At 37.6% G+C, this 22,153-nt stretch overlaps 1 protein-coding gene across 18 annotated transcripts in view; it reads right to left on the reverse strand.

Annotated features, from left to right (window-relative positions):
* Positions 1–22,153, reverse strand: part of IMMP2L (inner mitochondrial membrane peptidase subunit 2) — an 899,849-nt gene that overhangs the window by 152,122 nt on the left and 725,574 nt on the right. For 6 of the 18 annotated variants that reach the window (XM_017012701.2, XM_017012700.2, XM_017012702.2 and 3 more), the window contains one exon: positions 1–20,970. This exon is cut by the window's left edge and continues 35,597 nt beyond it. The exons of the other annotated variants lie outside the window; for them this stretch is intronic. In XM_017012701.2, coding sequence (XP_016868190.1) covers positions 20,656–20,970 — 315 coding nt within the window. In that variant the 3' untranslated portion in view covers positions 1–20,655. The remainder of the gene's footprint in view (positions 20,971–22,153) is intronic. 18 annotated transcript variants of the gene reach the window in all.

Below are 22,153 nucleotides of genomic sequence, written 5' to 3' on the forward strand. Positions count from 1 at the left end.
TTGCTCAGAAAGAAACCTCATTACAAATTGGTATTTTAAGTATAAAATAAACTTAAGACAGATGTGATCACAATACTTAACTTGTTAATAGAAATTTGTTATGATATTTAATCTATTTCCTCCTCAATATGCCAGGGACCATGTAGGTTTCAAAAATGAAACACATGGTAGTTTTCTTTTAGAAACAAAATACAATTGATACAATAGCAAGCCTCGTAAAACCACACTGAACTACAACGTCTTAACTGTGAGATGCCGAGAGAGGGCTCTAGGAGTACAATATAATAAATAAGTTCTTCCAGTTTTTGCCCATTCAGTATGATATTGGCTGTGGGTTTGTCATAGATAGCTCCTATTATTTTGAGATATGTCCAATCAATACCTAATTTATTGAGAGTTTTTAGCATGAAGCGCTGTTGAATTTTGTCAAAGGCCTTTTCTGCATCTATTGAGATAATCATGTGGTTTTTGTCTTTGGCTCTGTTTATATGCTGGATTACATTTATTGATTTGCGTATGCTGAACCAGCCTTGCATCCCAGGGATGAAGCCCACTTGATCATGGTGGATAAGCTTTTTGATGTGCTGCTGGATTCGGTTTGCCAGTATTTTATTGAGGATTTTTGCATCAATGTTCATCAAGGATATTGGTCTAAAATTCTCTTTTTTGGTTGTGTCTCTGCCAGGCATTGGTATCAGGATGATGCTGGCCTCATAAAATGAGTTAGGGAGGATTTCCTCTTTTTCTATTGATTGGAATAGTTTCAGAAGGAATGGTACCAGCTCCTCCTTGTACCTCTGGTAGAATTCGGCTGTGAATCCATCTGGTCCTGGACTTTTTTTGGTTGGTAAGCTATTGATTATTGCCACAATTTCAGAGCCTGTTACTGGTCTATTCAGAGATTCAACTTCTTCCTGGTTTAGTCTTGGGAGGGTGTATGTGTCGAGGAATTTATCCATTTCTTCTAGATTTTCTAGTTTATTTGCGTAGAAGTGTTTGTATTATTCTCTGATGGTAGTTCGTATTTCTGTGGGATCGGTGGTGATATCCCCTTTATCATTTTTTATTCCGTCTATTTGATTCTTCTCTCTTTTCTTCTTTATTAGTCTTGCTAGCGGTCTATCAATTTTCTTGATCTTTTCAAAAAACCAGCTCCTGCATTAATTAATTTTTGAAGGGTTTTTTGTGTCTCTATTTCCTTCAGTTCTGCTCTGATCTTAGTTATTTCTTGCCTTCTGCTAGCTTTTGAATGTGTTTGCTCTTGCTTTTCCAGTTCTTTTAACTGTGATGTTAGGGTGTCAATTTTAGATCTTTCCTGCTTTCTCTTGGGGGCATTTAGTGCTATAAATTTTCCTCTACACATTGCTTTGAATGTGTCCCAGAGATACTGGTATGTTGTGTTTTTGTTCTCATTGGTTTCAAAGAACATCTTTATTTCTGCCTTCATTTCATTATGTACCCAGTAGTCATTCAGGAGCAGGTTGTTCAGTTTCCATGTAGTTGAGCGGCTTTGAGTGAGATTCTTAATCCTGAGTTCTAGTTTGATTGCACTGTGGTCTGAGAGACAGTTTGTTATAATTTCTGTTCTTTTACATTTGCTGAGGAGAGCTTTACTTCCAACTATGTGTTCAAATTTGGAATAGGTGTGGTGTGGTGCTGAGAAGAATGTATATTCTGTTGATTTGGGGTGGAGAGTTCTGTAGATGTCTATTAGGTCTGCTTGGTGCAGAGCTGAGTTCAATTCCTGGGTATCCTTGTTAACTTTCTGTCTCGTTGATCTGTCTAATGTTGACAGCGGGGTGTTAAAGTCTCCCATTATTATTGTGTGGGAGTCTAAGTCTCTTTGTAGGTCTCTAAGGACTTGCTTTATGAATCTGGGTGCTCCTGTATTGGGTGCATATACATTTAGGATAGTTAGCTCTTCTTGTTGAATTGATCCCTTTACCATTATGTAATGGCCTTCTTTGTCTCTTTTGATCTTTGTTGGTTTAAAGTCTGTTTTATCAGAGACTAGGATTGCAACCCCTGCCTTTTTTTGTTTTCCATTTGCTTGGTAGATCTTCCTCCATCCTTTTATTTTGAGCCTATGTGTGTCTCTGCACGTGAGATGGGTTTCCTGAATATACGACACTGATGGGTCTTGACTCTTTATCCAATTTGCCAGACTGCGTCTTTTAATTGGAGCATTTAGCCCATTTACATTTAAAGTTAATATTGTTATGTGTGACTTTGGTCCTGTCATTATGATGTTAGCTGGTTATTTTGCTCATTAGTTGATGCAGTTTCTTCCTAGCCTTGATGGTCTTTACATTTTGGATTCAACATAGTGTTAGAAGTTCTGGCCAGGGCAATTAGGCAGGAGAAGGAAATAAAGGGTATTCAATTAGGAAAAGAGGAAGTCTAATTGTCCCTGTTTGCAGATGACATGATTGCATATCCAGAAAACCCCATTGTCTCAGCCCAAAATCTCCTTAAGCTGATAAGCAACTTCAGCAAAGTCTCAGGATACAAAATCAATGTACCAAAATCACGAGCATTCTTATACACCAATAACAGACAAACAGAGAGCCAAATCATGAGTGAACTCCCATTCACAATTGCTTCAAAGAGAATAAAATACCTAGGAATCCAACTTACAAGGGATGTGAAGGACCTCTTCAAGGAGAACTACAAACCACTGCTCAATGAAATAAAAGAGGATACAAACACATGGAAGAACATTCCATGCTCACGGGTAGGAAGAATCAATATTGTGAAAATGGCCATACTGCCCAAGGTAATTTATAGATTCCATGCCATCCCCGTCAAGCTACCAATGACTTTCTTCACAGAATTGGAAAAAACTACTTTAAAGTTCATATGGAACCAAAAAAGAGCCCGCATAGCCAAGTCAATCCTAACCCAAAAGAACAAAGCCGGAAGCATCATGCTACCTGACTTCAAACTATACTACGAGGCTACAGTAACCAAAACAGCATGGTACTGGTACCAAAACAAAGATATAGATCAATGGAACAGAACAGAGACCTCAGAAATAACGCCGCATATCTACAACCATCTGATCTTTGACAAACCTGACAAAAATAAGCAATGGGGAATGGATTTCCTATTTAATAAATGGTGCTGCGAAAACTGGCTAGCTGTATGTAGAAAGCTGAAACTGGATCCCTTCCTTACACCTTATACAAAAATTAATTCAAGATGGGTTAAAGACTTACATGTTAGACCTAAAACCATAAAAACCCTAGAAGAAAACCTAGGCATTACCATTCAGGACATAGGCATGGGCAAGGACTTCATGTCTAAAACACCAAAAGCAATGGCAACAAAAGCCAAAATTGACAAATGGGATCTAATTAAACTAAAGAGTTTCTGCACAGCAAAAGAAACTACCATCAGAGTGAACAGGCAACCTACAAAATGGGAGAAAATTTTCGCAACCTACTCATCTGACAAAGGGCTAATATCCAGAATCTACAATGAACTCAAACAAATTTACAAGAAAAAAACAAACAACCCCATCAACAAGTGGGCGAAGGATATGAACACACAATTCTCAAAAGAAGACATTTATGCAGCCAACAGACACATGAAAAAATGCTCATCATCACTGGCCATCAGAGAAATGCAAATCAAAACCACAATGAGATACCATCTCACATCAGTTAGAATGGCGATCATTAAAAAGTCAGGAAACAACAGGTGCTGGAGAGGATGTGGAGAAATAGGAACACTTTTACACTGTTGGTGGGACTGTAAACTAGTTCAACCATTGTGGAAGTTGGTGTGGCGATTCCTCAGGGATCTAGAACTAGAAATACCATTTGACCCAGCTATCCCATTACTGGGTATATACCCAAAGGGTTATAATCATGCTGCTATAAAGACACATGCACACATATGTTTATTGTGGCACTCACAATAGCAAAGACTTGGAACCAACCCAAATGTCCAACAACGATAGACTGGATTAAGAAAATGTGGCACATATACACCATGGAATACTATGCAGCCATAAAAAATGATGAGTTCATGTCCTTTGTAGGGACATGGATGAAGGTGGAAACCATCATTCTCAGCAAACTATCGCAAGGACAAAAAACCAAACACCGCATATTCTCACTCATAGGTGGGAATTGAACAATGAGAACACATGGACACAGGAAGGGGAACATCACACTCTGGGGACTGTTGTTGGGTGGGGGGCGGGGGGAGGGATAGCATTAGGAGATATACCTAATGTAAATGACGACTTAATATGTGCAGCACACCAACATGGCACATGTATACATATGTAACAAACCTGCACATTGTGCATATGTACCCTAAAACTTAAAGTATAATAATAACAAAATAAAAAAAAGAAAAAAAAATCAGTTCTGACTGGAGAAGTTAGCAAAGGATTTGTGAACTTCCTTTGGAACTTCCTTTGGAACTGTAACTTAACTTGGGTGGAACCTTGCTGGAAGTCATGGTAAGGTAAAGATAGGTTACAGCGGAAGAGAAGCAGCTTAGTGTTTGGGGAGGTTCGGAGGCTGGGAGAGAATGAGGCTGTGATGGAACTGAGAAAGGCCTTCAAGCCCAAGCAGTTTCTATATGATATGAACTTTACCCTACATGAACTGTGATGCATATATTTTGGCTGAAGTGCAGAAATGTCCCCATTTTGAAAACTGTGAAGAACTCCCAGGATGTCTAATTAAAATAGGGTATGGATAATGAAAGTGATCCCATAAGTGTGCTGGTGGAGAGCTGCTTCCACTTACTTTTCTGTGCAAACCCAAACCATCACTATCACAAAGTTCCAAAAACCATGACCTCAGCAACATGTAATTGTTAGGTACTCACTATGAATTTCTTAAACCACACAGTATGAATTCTTTTAGCAAATTAGGCCCCAATGATTTTACTAAGCAAAATGTCCCACTGTAGAACATCATGTGAATTTTAGAGCTAGAGGAGCTCAGAATGGGGAAAATGGATAATAATACGAATTAAAAGGAAGAAGTTGAAATTCCTAGTTAAATAATCATTATAAATTATATCTTTCAAGTAAAACTACAACTATTGATTTCCATGGTGTGTGTAAACAAGACAATACAAACGTGTTTTATAAACTGACTATACCTTTTTTCTTAATTTCTCTATATCTTTTAAACAATATTTACATGCTGTTCATTTTGTTTTATTTAATTTTCCATATTTACCTTGTTTTTCATATCTAGAGTATGACAATCTAGCAACTCTTTATTTCTGGTAACATTCTAAAATGTTTTATTTGGAACCACTTATTATGGCAGATGATAAAAATCTAGGCTCAGTTTTATCACCTCCACCTAACTCCTAAAATAGATGACATAAATTCAATAAGAATCTAAATCTACTTATCTTCAGGGTACAATACAAAATCCATCTACTTATTCAAATTTTTGATTAACAGCATTCATATTTATGAAATGCTCTGGGCTTTGCAGGTGAAAATATGTGAAACTCAAGTATCATTAAATATTCTGTGATGTTATCACAGTGTTTTGTGTGCATATGTGCTAATGTTCAATAACTTTACCCTGAGATCTAATATGCATCATAAACTTACAAAACAAGAAAATCTCTTCTTATGTGTTTAATTCACCTAATAAATCACAAAGAAAATTATAAAATAAGCTATATCAATAAAGTAGCTTATGGAATATCGGTGTTTTGTTTCCCATTGAATACTGGGTGGTCTGCAACTGCAACACAGTAACTAGTAAGTATTATCTGAACATATATGTTTCATATTATGAGTATTATCTGACACACACACACACACCCACCCACCCACTCACCCATAACAGTTCATGCTAAATTTGATCTAACATCTGTAAAGAGGAAACTTCTGACCTTTAGCAAATTTATCAATAAAGGAGAATATCTGCAATGTTATTGTCTATAAGGCATACATAATTTTTCAACTCAAATTATATTTTTGGTTAACCTACTCATGATGGCACAGACTCTACCCTAATAAGGGGTGGTAGGAAGTACACCGAACTAAGAAGTGTTGGGGCCTCAGTGCCATCTTTCTCTAGATATTTATGCGTCCTTGAACACACCTTTTCAACTTTCCTGAGCTCTCTTTTCCTCATCTATAAAACCAATATGATTATCTCCAATCTCCCTCCACTAAAATGTTTCCATTGGTTAATGACAAATGCTTATGATGTTACTGTCTCTGATGATGATTGTAAAAATATCTAATATACACTGAGACCTAAATTATGCATCAGCCACTGACCTGTATGCTTTATATACACTAACTCATTTAACTCTTCCCAAGAGGTAACTCATTTAACTCTTCCCAAGAGGTAACTCATTTAACTCTTATATACACTAACTCATTTAACTCTTCCCAACAACCTGTGAGGTAGATACTCTGATTATTTCTGTCTTATAAAAAAGGTTAAATAACTTGCCCAAAATCAAAGAGATAGTCAACGGCTGATATTAGAATCTAGGCAGTTTGGCTCAGAGGGCTCAGTTCTAACCATTACACAGCACTACAATAAATGATCAGACTTTACAGTGTAACTATAAACAGAGTCTTTATCAATGAGTTTCCTCAGAGTTTCACGTTTGCTGGCATTAATGTAATTTCAATCTTTAATTGCTAAACATTTAATTCTCTGCTTGTATATCAGATATGTTAAAGGGATTTCACAGATATAAAAAAAATGTGATCCTTAAAACAACTCTCTGAAGGATGTTGGGTAGTTTTACAAAATTTGCACTCATGAGAAAATGGAGGCTGAGACCTAGACATTTATGATATGTCATAATTACAAAGTCAAGCTGCTTTAAATCCCTTATAGAAAAAGGAAAGGTAGGCTGGGCACAGTGGCTCACATCCATAATCCCAGCACTTTGGGAGGCCGAGGTAGGCAGATCATGAGGTCAGGAGATCGAGAACATCCTGGCCAATATGGTGAAACACTGTCTCTACCACAAATTACAAAAAGAAAAAAAAAATTACCTGGGCGTGGTGGCGCATGCCTGTAATCCCAGCTACTTGGAAGGCTGAGGCAGGAGAATCGCTTGAACCCAGTAGGTGGAGGTTGCAGTGAACCAAGATCACGTCACTGCACTCCAGCCTGGTGACAGAGCAAGACTCTTGTCTCAAAAAAAAGGTAAAATTCACTAGTCATAAAGCCAGTGAAGAACATAACAACATAGTCAGAAACTTGGGATTTCTAACTTCTAGTCAGTCAACTGAATGTTTAGCACTCTCCAATCTTTTCTCCAACCCAGGTGTGTCTCCTGCCTGAGATCCTGACAAGTAAGATTTAATATACCCAAATGAAATTCATCATTTTGCCCCTAAACCTAAGTTTTCTCCTAAATTCTTTCTTCTGATCAATGACATCAACAATTACTTACCTGAATCAGAAATCTGGAAAACTCTTCCTTTCTTTCCTTCAATCTTACATTGTCAACTCATTCTATAAATTCTACCTTCAAAATATAGCTCAACTCTATCTTCATCCCCATTGTGCTGCTTAATGTCTTGAATCATTTGCAGGACATAAAAGATCCTCTGTGATTGACAACCATTAATTCACCATCTTTCATTTCTTCTGAGACTACAGTCTTACCAAATGACTTGTAGTTCCTCATACTTTAGCATAAGTTCCATTCATGCCTCTGTGAATGAAAATTTCTCTGCCTGGAATTCCTGTTTGCTGTAAACACCTCCTTATCCTAAACACTTGTCCACTAAGAAATTTTTCCTTACCTGTCTCCATCCCCAAGCCAATTATCCATTCTTTCTTGTACATTCCTGAATATAGTACCTTTCATATTATAGTTTAAGGGTAATAAATAAATCTCATTTGAATAGATTTAGTTCCAGGCTCTGTACTTTTAATGTTTTCTCTAATCCTTAAAAAAGACACACACTGAAATTATTATCCCTGAAACTTAGAAAGGTTAGAAGTCTATAATTCAGAAGTGAGGAAGCCCAAGTTTAAAATATGTTTACTCCCCAAATCTTATGCCCTTCCTATTTCAAAATGTTACTTCTTTAATTATTTGCTTACATGTCTTTCTGCTCCATTGGCCACTAAATTCACAGAATGTAAGAAGTATGTCTTATTCTATGTCTTATTCAAGGCTGGGGCCCCAGTACCTGGCACGGGATCTGGCATAGAGAAGGCACTCAAGTGTCTGATGAGTAAATAAATGAGGCCGTGTGTTGTTTGGCTCACTAAATAAAATCCTATTGTTATTAACTGCCATTTAAATGGAAATGCCAGTTTTATGAACATGACTGATGGAGAAATAAGATTTGAACAATGTTTATGAGTTTTTAATGTAATTTTTATTGACTTTTTTGTATCCTAACTCATTAATAAAAGAAATAAAGAATAATACTGGCATGCTTTATCTCCCAACATTATTCAAATTGAATTGACTTTTTTCTTTCAATAAGATGCCAGGAGTAAATTATTTCTGTTCTTCCAGAAAGGTACACCTATTTTCACACAAAAACCTAACTCCTATATTATAAAAATATAGTTGCATATACAGTAGACACAAGTTTGTCTGTATATGTTGATGTGATTACATTACTTGACTCTTGACTCAAAGAGATTATATTACTCAACCCAAAAAGCAGTTGTGGTAATCACTAAGTAATTTTTAAAAATTATATAATAATATATGGAGTATTCTTTATTTAAAGATGGCAAATTCCATCATTTATCTGACAGGAAAAGTTTATCCTAAAGACAAGCTTATCCTAAGAATAGGGACATTCTGCTAAATAAATTTCAGTTTGTGGAACTGGCAATGGTGAAATTAAGGTACTAAGTTCTTTTCCTAACCTTATAAAAGATCAGAGTTCTTCCTACTGTGATGCAGTAAAGACTCAGTGAATATTTACTTATTTGTCCTAGTAGCCCCAACATACTTTGAGAGCAAAATTAAAGGTGAAAAGTGAATGCTATCAAAACTAACAGATGAAAAAAATTCTGAAGATTTTAAAGTTGCTCAGAGATAAGATTTTGATGGAGGACCTTTGGTAAAGAACTACTCTCAAAACATTATGGCTATTCATTAATTAATAACAGTATCAAAGAACATCGGAATTTAAACTGAGAGATCAGTTGAATATACTCAGAGGCAGAAGTCTGATCTATGATATTTCTTTATCATTCAGTAATTGCTTGGAGAACACTCTACTGATGGGATCACACTAACACATGAAGTGGTCATTCACTTGGACAACCAACAGTGTCACTGCATATGTAATAATTACATACATAATGCAATACTTACATTATAAACATTCTCTATAGGCCAGGAGATTTAACGCTGCTCAACTAGTTTACATTATAATTATGGGTATTATCACCTACATTAATTTTTTAAACAAGACAAAAAATGGATACGTAAATAACAAAATATGAAAGGGTATGAAATGAGATCTGAATGTCTCCTTTCACCCTTCTTTAGCCCCTAATCATTTTCTCCCATGTAACTCCAGTTTCTAGGCATTTGTCTCTATTCACAGAAAACTGCTAATTATTTACACAAATAGGATAGACTAAAAATAATTTTCTGCAGCTATTTTAATACTTAACGTATATTAGAACTCTTTGTATAGTTCTAGATAAGTAACTATTTTTAATGTTTGCAAAATATATATGAATTCCCCAGGCTCAAGAGATCCTCCCATGTCAGCCTCCTGACTAGCTGGACCACAGGCACACACCACCACGCCTGGCTTATTATTTTTTAATTTTGGTAAAGATGGGTTCTCCCTATGTTGCCCAGGCTGGGCTCAAACTCCTGGACTCAAGAGATACTCCATCCCCGACCTCTGAAAGTGCTGATATTACAGGGATGAACCACCGCTCCCAGCCTGTATTGCACTTTCAATGGATCTTTACCTATGTGCATGCTTTTGAAACATCATGTCTAGTTTCAAGTGGCTTGTTCAGCTGGCAATTCAATACCACAGTACTTTTCTCAAGACAGCCCTTGTACTTCCAAAATGTAAAAGTGATTTATATATACTTCCCATTTTATCACACCAAATATTAAAAAGGATATTATACTCAAAGATTGACATTTAATAAAAGAGGAAGTCAAATTGTCCCTGTTTGCAGATGACATGATTGTATATCTAGAAAACGCCATCATCTCAGCCCAAAATCTCCTTAAGCTGATAAGCAACTTCAGCAAAGTCTCAGGATACAAAATCAATGTGCAAAAATCACAAGCACTCTTATACACCAGTAACAAACAAATAGCCGAATCATGAGTGAACTCTCATTCACAATTGCTTCAAAGAGAATAAAATACCTAGGAATCCAACTTACAAGGGATGTGAAGGACCTCCTCAAGGAGAACTAAAAACCACTGCTTAGCGAAATAAAAGAGGACTCAAACAAATGGAAGAACATTCCACGCTCATGGATAGGAAGAATCAATATCGTGAAAATGGCCATACTGCCCAAGGTAATTTATAGATTCCATGCCATCCCCATCAAGCTACCAATGACTTTCTTCACAGAATTGGAAAAAACTACTTTAAAGTTCATATGGAACCAAAAAAGAGCCCGCATTGCCAAGTCAATCCTAAGCCAAAACAACAGAGCTGGAGGCATCATGCTACCTGACTTCAAACTATACTACGAGGCTACAGTAACCAAAACAGCATGGTACTGGTACCAAAACAGAGATATAGATCAGTGGAATAGAACAGAGCCCTCAGAAATAATACCACACATCTACAACCATCTGATCTTTGACAAACCTGACAAAAACAAGAAATGGGGAAAGGATTCCCTATTTAATAAATGGTGCTAGGAAAACTGGCTAGTCATATGTAGAAAGCTGAAACTGGATCCCTTCCTTACACCTTATACAAAAATTAATTCAAGATGGATTAAAGACTTAAATGTTAGACCTAAAACCATAAAAACCCTAGAAGAAAATCTAGGCAATACCATTCAGGACATAGGCATGGGCAACGACTTCATGTCTAAAACACCAAAAGCAATGGCAACAAAAGCCAAAATTGACGAATGGGATCTAATTAAACTAAAGAGCTTCTGCACAGCAAAAGAAACCACCATCAGAGTGAACAGGCAACCTACAGAATGGGAGAAAATTTTCGCAATCTGGTCATCTGACAAAGGGCTTATATCCAGAATCTAGAAAGTACTCAAACAAATTTACAAGAAAAAAACAAACAACCCCATCAAAAAGTGGGCGAAGGATATGAACACACACTTCTCAAAAGAAGACATTTATGCGCCAACAGACACATGAAAAAATGCTCATCATCACTGGCCATCAGAGAAATGCAAATCAAAGCCACAATGAGATACCATCTCACACCAGTTAGAATGGTGATCATTAAAAAGTCAGGAAACAACAGCTGCTGGAGAGGATGTGGAGAAACAGGAACACTTTTACACTGTTGGTGGGACTGTAAACTAGTTCAACCATTGTGGAAGTCAGTGTGGCGATTCCTCGGGGATCTAGAACTAGAAATACCATTTGACCCAGCTATCCCATTACCGGGTATATACCCAAAGGTGTATAAATCATGCTGCTATAAAGACACATGCACACATATGTTTGTTGTGGCACTATTCACAATAGCAAAGACTTGGAACCAACCCAAATGTCCATCAATGATAGACTGGATTAAGAAAATGTGGCACATATACACCATGGAATACTATGCAGCCATAAAAAAGGATGAGTTCATGTCCTTTGTAGGGAGATGGATGAAGCTGGAAACCATCATTCTCAGCAAACTATCGCAAGGACAGAAAACCAAACACCGCAGGTTCTCACTCATAGGTGGGAACTGAACAATGAGAACACTTCAACACAGGAAGGGGAACATCACACACTGGGGCCTGTCATGGGGTTGGGGGAGTGGGGAGGGATAGCATTAGGAGATATACCTAATGTAAATGACGACTTAATGTGTGCAGCACACCAACATGGCACATGTATACATATGTAACAAACCTGCACATTGTGCACATGTACCCTAGAACTTAAAGTATATTAAAAAAATAAATAAAAATACATTCCAGAGACTAAAAAAAAAAAGTTAATAATTTTACTCCTTCATCAAAGGCATTCTTAAGTGAAACTGGTATGTATTTTTTCTCATGACAGTATATGATGGGGATGAAAACAATGACTATTAGTTCAACTTGGTGCTACTGCTTTGATTTGTACAAAGACACCAGGAGTTGTCCCACCATTGCTTTTGTACCATCAATGCCAGTATTGACAGAGTAAAAATGACAAATTTCTTAGCATTCTAATAAAAATAGTTTTGACCTCAAATACCCCTTGAGATTGTTTTGGAAATACCCAGGGGTTTATAGACTCCACTTAGAAAACTGCTTCCCTATATCCTCTCCATTTCAAAGCTGAGGAAATTGAGGTTCAGAGATAAGCAACCCACCCAAAGACCGTTATTAAACAGGACAGTCAAAATGCAAACCTAGGCATTCTAACCCCAAGTTCTTGTCCTTGATGTCCAAGCACACTGCTTAGGAGACTTTTCAATTGGTTGCCAGCACTACCACAGAGTTCTTTTTAGTGAGATTTCACAATGGTCCTTGCTTTGCCCTCTGGGATTATAATATACCTTCACTCATCAAGCATTAGGTTGCTTCTATGAGCCAGGGCCTGAGCCCCATGATGAGGATGCCAAAATGAATAAGATATTGTCCTCACTTTCAAGGATTTCACAATCAACTGGGGAGACAAATGTGCAAACAAGACCTATAGCGTTGTGTGACAAATACTGTAACAGTACTTTGTACAAAGAATTTTGGAAGCACAGAAGAGAGGGTGATTAATTCTGCCCAAAGAAGGGAGTAGCTGGAATCAGGGGCTTGACAACAAAAGCACATTTTAATTGGACTTGAAGGATAAATACATCTAATCCCTTTATTCACAGGAAAAGAGTCCTTCACATACTTGAATACAGCTATTGTGTATCCCATGTAAGTTTCCAGTACTTTGAATAAAGACATACTAATATCATCAAGAATATATTATGAAGATGAACATAGAAAACAAATCACATAAGAAACACCTCTGGAAAATATGTACTGATCCTTCTGCAAGGATATATGCAAATTTATTAAATAAATCAGCAGTTAATCATGAGAGAGTTAGACAAGTTCACCTAACAGCCATGCAGTTTCTTCTAAATAAGAACTAGAAACAAGTGTGCAAACTAAAAAGACTGTTCTCAAAGTGCTCCTATCCAGATTTTTTAGTCATCTCTCCTCTAAGCCAGAGGTCAGCAAATTTTTTATGTAAATGACCAGACTAAACATTTTAGGCTTTGTAGGCCAGATGGTCTCAGAAAACTATTCTGCTCTGCCCTTGTAGTGTGAAAACAGCCATATATAATATGTTAATGAATGGGCATGCTGTGTTCCAAAAAAAACTTTATTTACAAAAATAGGCCCAGATACGGCCCACGGGCCATAGTTTGCTGACTCCTGCACTAAGCCATCTTTCTTCTTGTGTTCTCCCTCCTTCCCCTGCACAGTAGTAAGAGCGTTAGGTCTGGAATCATCAGAATTTTAATTCTACCCTTGCTAACAACCAACTGTGTGATCTTAAGCAAACTGCTTGATCATTCTGGCACTCTGTTTCTTATGTCAAATCAAGGATCTTTGGATTATATGATCAATAATGGCCCTCCTTAAATTCCAAAGAATCACTGCAGAGTATGTCTCCTCCCCTGATACTCCTAATTCATTCCAGCATGGAATACACTATATGAGAGACTGGCAAAAAATAAATGTGACCTTAGGTGATACTAAAAGAAATGTATATGTCAAATGAAGATGGGGCAAGCCTAGTCTACTCTACACAAGATATATCACATGTAAAGTTCAATTATGAGTAAAACACTAACAAGACTCTCCACAGGAAAACAACCAGGGATCTAAAAGATTCTGAAGATTTTGGTAAATGAGATATGGTTGAAAAACCTGGGCAAGAGTGGAGAGCAAAAATTTAGTGAGCATAATACTATCTTTCAAAATGCTTGTAACCAAACAAATATTAGAACATAAATAAAATATTCCAGGCCTAAATGATATTTCTGAATCCTCAACTATAATGAGTATAAGTTCTGTGCCTTCTAAGTCTTCGTAGCATCTTGAGTCTGTAAAGTTATTGCTAATAACAATGTTAGAAGTAACATCATTTCCAATACTTCATATATGTATGGCTATTTAAAGTTTATATCCTTGTATATCACATTGTTCAAGCTTCCTGATCCTATGAGATTGGCAAAGATGGTATTATTATTGTCTTTTTACAAATAGGAGAGCAGAAATTCAAAAAGTTTATTCTGTACCTAGAAGATTACTGAATAAACAACATAAAATGGGGAGGTGCTAAAGCTAAACTCCCCAATCAGGTTAGAAAATGTAGATGGAAGACTAAAACAGACATCACCAAATATTTTATAGAACATCATCTCCTTTATAATTCTCAGAGGAAGGAGAGCTTGGGGGAGTGGGATATAACAGCTTAACAGCTTCAAAGCACTTTACATTTGGAAATAGTTGCCTAGCATTTTGCTTTAGCTGTTAGTGCTCAATTTACCTAATTTTTCTGTTAAGTGCTTCAATCACATGTAAATGTGTTATGAATATAGCTCATAAAATGTCTGAGGGGTGGTGTTCTATAATAAAACAACCCCAAATGGGAAGAATTCTAAAAACGAAAAAATATTCCTTTCCATTTCATTGGTTTCAGATAAATGCCTTATTCTTAGAAAAACAAAAAAACAAAAAAAGAGAGAAAAACCCCAAGCATCTGTGAATAATTCAAAGTACTAAATGGCATGAATAGATTCATATTTTAATGTTATACTTTCCTTTTATCCAGACACAACTTTGAACATAATAAATCTAGTTTTAGAACTTGAAATCCTCAAGACTCTGCATTTGGTCTCTTTTTAAAATATGTATAATTAACTTCATCTTTGAAGGCTCCTGGAGGTTGTAGAGGGCAGAAGAAATGTGTTTTTGTTAAAATGAGCCAATCTGTGGGAGGCCTCCCAAGTTTCCTGCATAGAAAATTACAAAGAGATTTGAGAGAGAAGCAATATTGAAGCTAGGTATCCAAAGAGAAAGGATATTATGCATTGATAAATTAATCTCAATCAGCGCTTTTTTTCCTGGGCATTGAGGATACCAATGAGGGAACAGGGCTGGGGCAAGTCACATATGTGCTTAGTGTCATTCCCTTCCCCAACTCTCCAAATTTTCTTAGGTTAAATCAGATTATTTATCACTAACATCCCAGGTTACCGTGCATGAGAAAAGAGGTTAAAAAAGGAATGATTTGTAGTGTGCTTAGAAAGGAAAAAGGGACATTCTAATCTTGTGTAGAGAAGTTGAGGGAATTGATGGGCTGACAGCATATACATGGGCCTTATGCCTTTTTAGCAATAGTGAGGCTCCTTCACTTTCCTGTGGACCGCTTCCTTCTAGAAGCTCAGGTTCTCCAAAGGCTGTGGCTAGGAGGGACAGCATTTAGGACAAACGTGTTGGACTTCACATGGGGGTTTGTTTCTAAAAAAAAACAGTCTATAAGACAAAAATGACCTGAAATCAAAATACCCTTGAAGATCTCTTACAGTTTCCTTAAAGTAAAGTGGACACAGTTTTACATACACAACCCTGTACTGTAACTATTCATAAATATAATGTTCTCAGTAGGACACAGTTTATAATAAAGAAGGCCATCTTGTACTGCAAACAAAAAAAACATCAAAATATTTCAATTTTAAAAATGCACTCAGTGATGTGAGAGGCTAATACCATGAGGTGTGCAAGAAGCCACTTGAGAGTCATAGTATGGAATGGAGACCAAATTGTCCCTACTGTTTATAATGTCAGATACCTCCTCTCCTCTTTTTCTTTTTATTTTCTCTCTCTTCCTCCCTTGCTCTCTTTTCCCCACCAGCTGTTGTTGAAATCAAGTAAACCTGGACACTCAGATACTCCAAGGCATTTTGAGCCTTACCAGTTTTCTATTGCTACCATTACAGTATATGTACAATCACCACAGACGTATAGCAGCTTAGAGCAAACACAGGCTTAGAACAACTCAAGTCTATTACCTCACAGTTCAGTAGGTCAGAAGTCAGAACTGGCTGCTCTGGGTTTCCCAAGGCCGAAATTAAAGTGTCTGCTGGCCTGGCCCTGGGGGAGAGTTCACTTCCAAGCTCATTTGGATTGCTGGACAAATTTAGCTCCACGTAGCTGAAGGAGTGAGGTCTGGCTTCCTTGCTGCCTGTGGACTGGGGTCGTTCTCAGTTTCTAGAGGCCACTTGCATTCCTCGACCCTTAAAGTTGGCAACAGTGGGTTGAATCCTCATGTTTCAAATCTCTCTACCTTCCCTTCTACCTCATCTTTCTTCTGCCTCCATCTTCAACAGCTTCTCTCTAACTTTTCTGTTTTCCTGCTTTGCTTTTAAGGGTTTGTGTGATTACATTAAATATTGCCCCCTCCCCTAGAAACATTCAGGTTCCTTATCTAATTTAAGGTCAGAATTATTAAACTTAATTCTGTCTCCAAAGTCCCTTCACATAAGTATCTGGGTGAGTGTTTGATTACACAATTTGGGAATGGGAATCTTGAGAAAACTTCTTTATTCTTTCTACCATATGGTAATAACAAATTATTGGCCTTTCAAACGTATCTTGTTATAGCCCCTAAAATATGCTGCATATTTAGCCAAAAGACACAAGCAGCCAACTTGGTAAATAAGATCTCATTTGCAAAATGAAAACCGAAATGGAAACTTATCAAAAGAGGCTGTTATGAGAGGTTACAAATATTTCAATAAAGGGTTGCAATAGCAAGTATAAAAATAACCATGCACTAAAAGAAGAATGCTCTGGCCTGACGAAAATACTAGAGGGAAAGAATCTGCAGAATCTTCATTTGTTCTCTAGACATTTGGGGTCACTGATTTATTCAGAGGTACCCAGGTATTCTTTCCAGGTGAAGTCTAAAGTGTTTAGTGCTTTAAAACAAACAGTGCTCTCAGACTTGTTAGAGGCTTCGGTGAAAGTCCCTAATTGAAGCTAAAGGTCCCAGCAGGGTTTTTTTTAAAACTGCTTCCGAACTGATTTGACTTTAAAACCACTCTGTAGGGCTGGGCGCGGTGGCTCACGCCTGTAATCCCCACACTTTGGGAGGTTGAGGTGTGCGGATCACGAGGTCAGGAGATCAAGACTACCCTGGCCAACGTGGTGAAACCTCGTCTCTACTAAAATACAAAAAATTAGCTGGGTGTGGTGGCGTGTGCCTGTAGTCCCAGCTACTCAGGAGGCTGAGGCAGGGGAATCATTTGAACTGGGAGGTGGAGGTTGCAGTGAGCCGAGATTGCACCACTGCACTCCAGCCTGGGGACAGAGCAAGACTCCTCTCAAAACAAACAAAGAAAAAACAAACAAAAAAACCCTACTCTGTCATTCTGATTTTAGCCAGGTTTTGCACTGTACTGTCGTTATCCTGGTATATTCATGGGTTTTGCTAAATAACATCTTAGCAAAGTAAGCCATGCTAAAGTTCAGGACGTCCCAGTATGTGACACATTCCTTCTCTTCTAGCCAGTAGTCATAGACCACTCTCTTCAGCTGACAAGCCTGCCTTCCCTATTTTTCACAATCTAAAAGGGGCCTGCTGGTGGCGTGCTTCCTAGCTTTTCTGTAGCTTTACTTGGCCTGGTGACCATTGGTGAACTCAGAACGTTGTGAAGCCCAAGTCTCGAGCTATGTACCTACCCAGAACTGAATTTAAGTCACATGGATCACCACTTAACCCTGGACAGGCATTTTGCACATAGTGATAATAATAAAAAGTTTCTTTTGTTCACAAGTACCACCAAGAAACTTAGAATTCTTCATAGGAATTCTGCTATCACAGAGATAAAAATTACTGGAGTATGAGAATGCAGAGGGAGAATTCAGGTTTCTCTGATCATATGAATAACATAAACATATAGAAATAGACACAGAAGTCGTGATGAGTTTTTCTAATTCTGAGAATGCATTTAGGTAACCAGGCCAGTAGGAGAAAGGATTAGGGCAGGTTTCCCTGCTCCCTCCAGTACAGCTCCTGACATGTTTTCCTCTGGGAACTCTACTGGTGATCAGTAATGCCTCACTCCCCTCTGCCACATTCTACCTCATACATAAGATGTAATTAATTGTCATATTATGGCCTTGCTTCCTATTTAATGCAAGGGAGAACATTTATTGCATTGCTGGAGATATTCATTCTAGAACAAGAAAAAGTGGAGCTCTTAGAAGAGTTTTAATCATGAGGTCGGGCACGGTGGCTCATGCCTGTAATCCCAGCACTTTGGGAGGCTGAGGCAGGCAGATTATCTGAGGTCAGGAGTTTGACACTAGCCTGGCCAACATGGTGAAATCCTATCTCCACTAAAAATACAAAAAGTAGCAGGGTGTGGTGGTGGGTGCCTGTAATCCCAGCTACTCAAGAAGCTGAGGCAGGAGAATCGCTTGAACCTGGGAGGCAGAGGTCGCAGTGAGCCAAGATTGTGCCATTTCACTCCAGCCTGGGTGACAAGAGTGAAACTTCGTCTCAAAAAAAAAAAAAAAAAGAGAGAGAGAGCTTTAATCACAAAATTAGAGTATTTTTAATTATGTCTTGCCACCTAGGGGCATTCTTAGACCATCTGGGGGGATGGCTGATTTTTAGAGACTTCATAGTACATTCACTGAGGCAAAACAATAAATTTAATCTTTCAGCTTTTTCAGAAGTTCAATATTAGAAGACGATTTAAAGCAATGACTTTTTTAAATAAAATAACTTGCATATTAAACATTACATTTCATGTTACAGAAGGCCTAATATGACAAATTCAGGATAAATTTCCCCTGTATTTCAATGGTAACTCAGCTGTCTAAGTGCATCTCAGCCCTTTGGTTTTATTTAGTCAGTGAAAAAGATTTTGGTTTCTGCTTAGCTTTAGCTCAAACTCCTTTGAATGGGGCAAACACAAGCTGTACCATTCTCTTTGGTTTATGCCCAGTCAATTCTCTCATTTACTTACCAGCCTGATTCATGAAGGCCTCTGAGATGAATATGAAAGTTCTCTTCAGGTAAACAATGAGAACTAGATCAACTAAGTTATTTTCTTTTTTGCTTCAGATGCCAGTAACTTGAGAATTAAGTTTAGTGCTCATCTATATTAATAAATTCATTTGAAGTTGCTTCTAGCGTCTTTCTCCTTATAATTTCATTGGTTGTTCTAAGTTTATTTAGAAGTCTCTAGTTTTTTATTGTAATTTATTTTTAAAGCTTCTTCAAATATTCTTTATGAATAATAAATCTTAAATGTAGTTTTAAAACTGGGACTTCCACAGAAATTCACTGTAGTTACTGCTGGAGCACATTCAGTTTAGACTATCACTTTCCCATACCAGCACAGCAGCCTGTCATGTAAGAAATGGTCACTAGACATAAATCAGGCCTTACTGGTCATATTAACACAAAGTTAAGAGTGTGTGTGTGTGTGTGTTATATGCAACTTTATATATATATATAGTGTATATGTAACATATACACATTAGCTCAACTCAATACTGAAGAAAGTTGCTAAACAGTGTTCTAGCAATTCATCAAGGAGACTGGTACCAGAAGAAATAGGAGACAACCCCTGGAAGGAAGAAAGCTTTGTGCTCCGTCCTTCCAAGTATATAAGTATAAACATATATACCTCACCATTATACCATCTTAGAACAAAGAATTAAATTTTTGAGTTCACAGCTTTTGTAGTTTAGTATTTGCTGTACAATCAAAAACTTAACTCTTGAGTTGCAAACAGTTTGAAGAAGAGAAAACTATAGCATGTGACAGTGCAAAGTATGAAAGTAGACTAAGATTGGGAGCTGACTTTTCTACAAAGAGAATTGTAGGGATTAAGACAAATTTAACTGAAAGAATTGGAAGAAGAGATTACAGTTGGCAGTAGTGATCTTCTCAAACACCCTGGCCTTTGTGGAGTAAAGCACAACTTGGTTCTCATGAAATAGGTGCTTTTTCCCACCTGCCAGGGGCCACAGGCCTGCCATGTAACCAATCACCCTCAGAAGAATGGATGCCAGGTAAACACTGAGTGCCATCAGCCAGGACAGGTGCCAGATGGAAGCATTCACCTGAAAATTTTTTTCCCCCAGAGAAAGATTCATCACCTGTGCCACCTAGCCTTAGAATCTCACCACCAGAGCACCTTAGGCAGGAATAAGTATGTAAAACAGGTAGCTAAATCACCTTTAGTGCTCAGAGCAGGAAAAAATGTTTGCTTCACCTAACAATAGTAAGAACAAAATAAAAACTTTGCTGCAAAAGGATCAAAAGAGATTTTGCCCAGGGGCTTATTTCTGGGAACAATATGAGAGAACATGCTGGGAGAGAGGGTAGTATGACTCTAACTATCATTATATGTTAAAGAATAAAGGTGTTTATTATCTGAGGCCAAAGGTCTGATCCACTTACCTAATATGCGGTATGGCAGTGCTTTTTATAGACTCTGAAATTTTTGTCCTCAGATCTCTCAGATGATCAAAGACTCTTGGAAAGCTGCCAAGAAGGTCTCTGGCTCATCAACCTGCTTTCCCCAAACATCCTGAGAGCCCTAGGACCAAGGACAACTATAAACCAGAGAAAACAACCAGGAGTAGCAAAGCCAGGACAATTAAAGTGTTTGGTTGTAAATTTCAAATCATTTCTCCAAACTAAAATACTTGCCTTTGTTCCCAGAAGGTAGTGTTGTGTTAAACTCAGTAGCATTTTTTTTTTTCTCTTCCTGAATCTCTTTTTCTTTCTCTGTGAATTCACTTGGTAGAAATGAGAGCTATGATCTTTGCATATATGACACTGTATTCAATAAATGTTAAATAACAGAAGATTAGAACTCTTTTAATAATTCTGTTTGTTATTCTCATTGTTTGTTTTCTCTTGTTCTTCTTATTCAACAAATCTTTCTTCACATGCCTCACATTTTTTGAGGGCAGAAAATTTTTGACCCATTTTTCCCAATGGGTCACTGACTTTGCAGAGCATGGCATATGCTGAAATGAACATTGTAATTACATTTACACCCAGGGCAACACCCAATTGTTCACTGTCATTTGTAGCTAGAAGCACCTACAAATGACATATATTAATGAATGACAGATCCTGTGGTGAGTTAATAAGATAACAAATCTCAGTCAGTATTGCATAAATTGGGAGTGGAGGGGAGCTGAGTTCTTTGTAAACATGTGACCTGGTGGAATGAAATCTCTGTAAGAGCAATTCAGAAATGATAAGGTTAGGTTAATACTGGTTCCTGTATTCCCGCTGTTCTATCAACCCACTCAATTCCTACATTCCAGCTGGTTGTGTTCCAGAATTTCTCTGAGAGTAAAACCTGAATTTACAAGTATTGTCATAAATTGGGGGGGTGGTCCTCATGATATGATTTGGCTGTGTCCCCACACAAATCTCATCTGGAATTTCCATGTGTTGAGGAAGATACCCAGTAGGAGGTAATTGAATGATAGAGGTAGGTCTTTCCTGTGCTGTTCTTGTGACAGTAAATAAGTCTCACGAATCTGATGGTTTTAAAAGGGGAGTTTCTCTGTACAAGCTCTCTTCTCTTGCCTGCTGCCATGTGAGACGTGCCTTTCACCTTCCATCATGATTGTGAGGCCTCCCCAGCCACATGGAACTGAAAGCCCAATAAACCTCTTTCTTTTGTAAATTGCCAGTCTTGGGTATGTCTTTATCAGCAGTGTGAAAACAGACTAATACACCTCATAAACACACATGGCAAAATTCTCTCATGCATCATAAGTTATTAAAAAATCCCCTTAGAAACCTCTGTGGCCCTAGGCTTTTGGTTGTTTGCCCTTGTGCTTTAGGTGGCTGATGTGGTATAATGAAACATAAAGCATTAATGAAATTCTCTTATATTTTTGCCAATTGAATTGGAAAACAATTTTAAAGACTGATAAATCCAGAACTAATAAGGATCCCCAGGGTGCAGAGAAATTCTGCTTCACTGCTGATGGCCATG

Source organism: Homo sapiens, chromosome 7 (assembly GCF_000001405.40).
Source record: "Homo sapiens chromosome 7, GRCh38.p14 Primary Assembly".
Classification (NCBI taxonomy): Eukaryota; Metazoa; Chordata; class Mammalia; order Primates; family Hominidae; genus Homo; species Homo sapiens.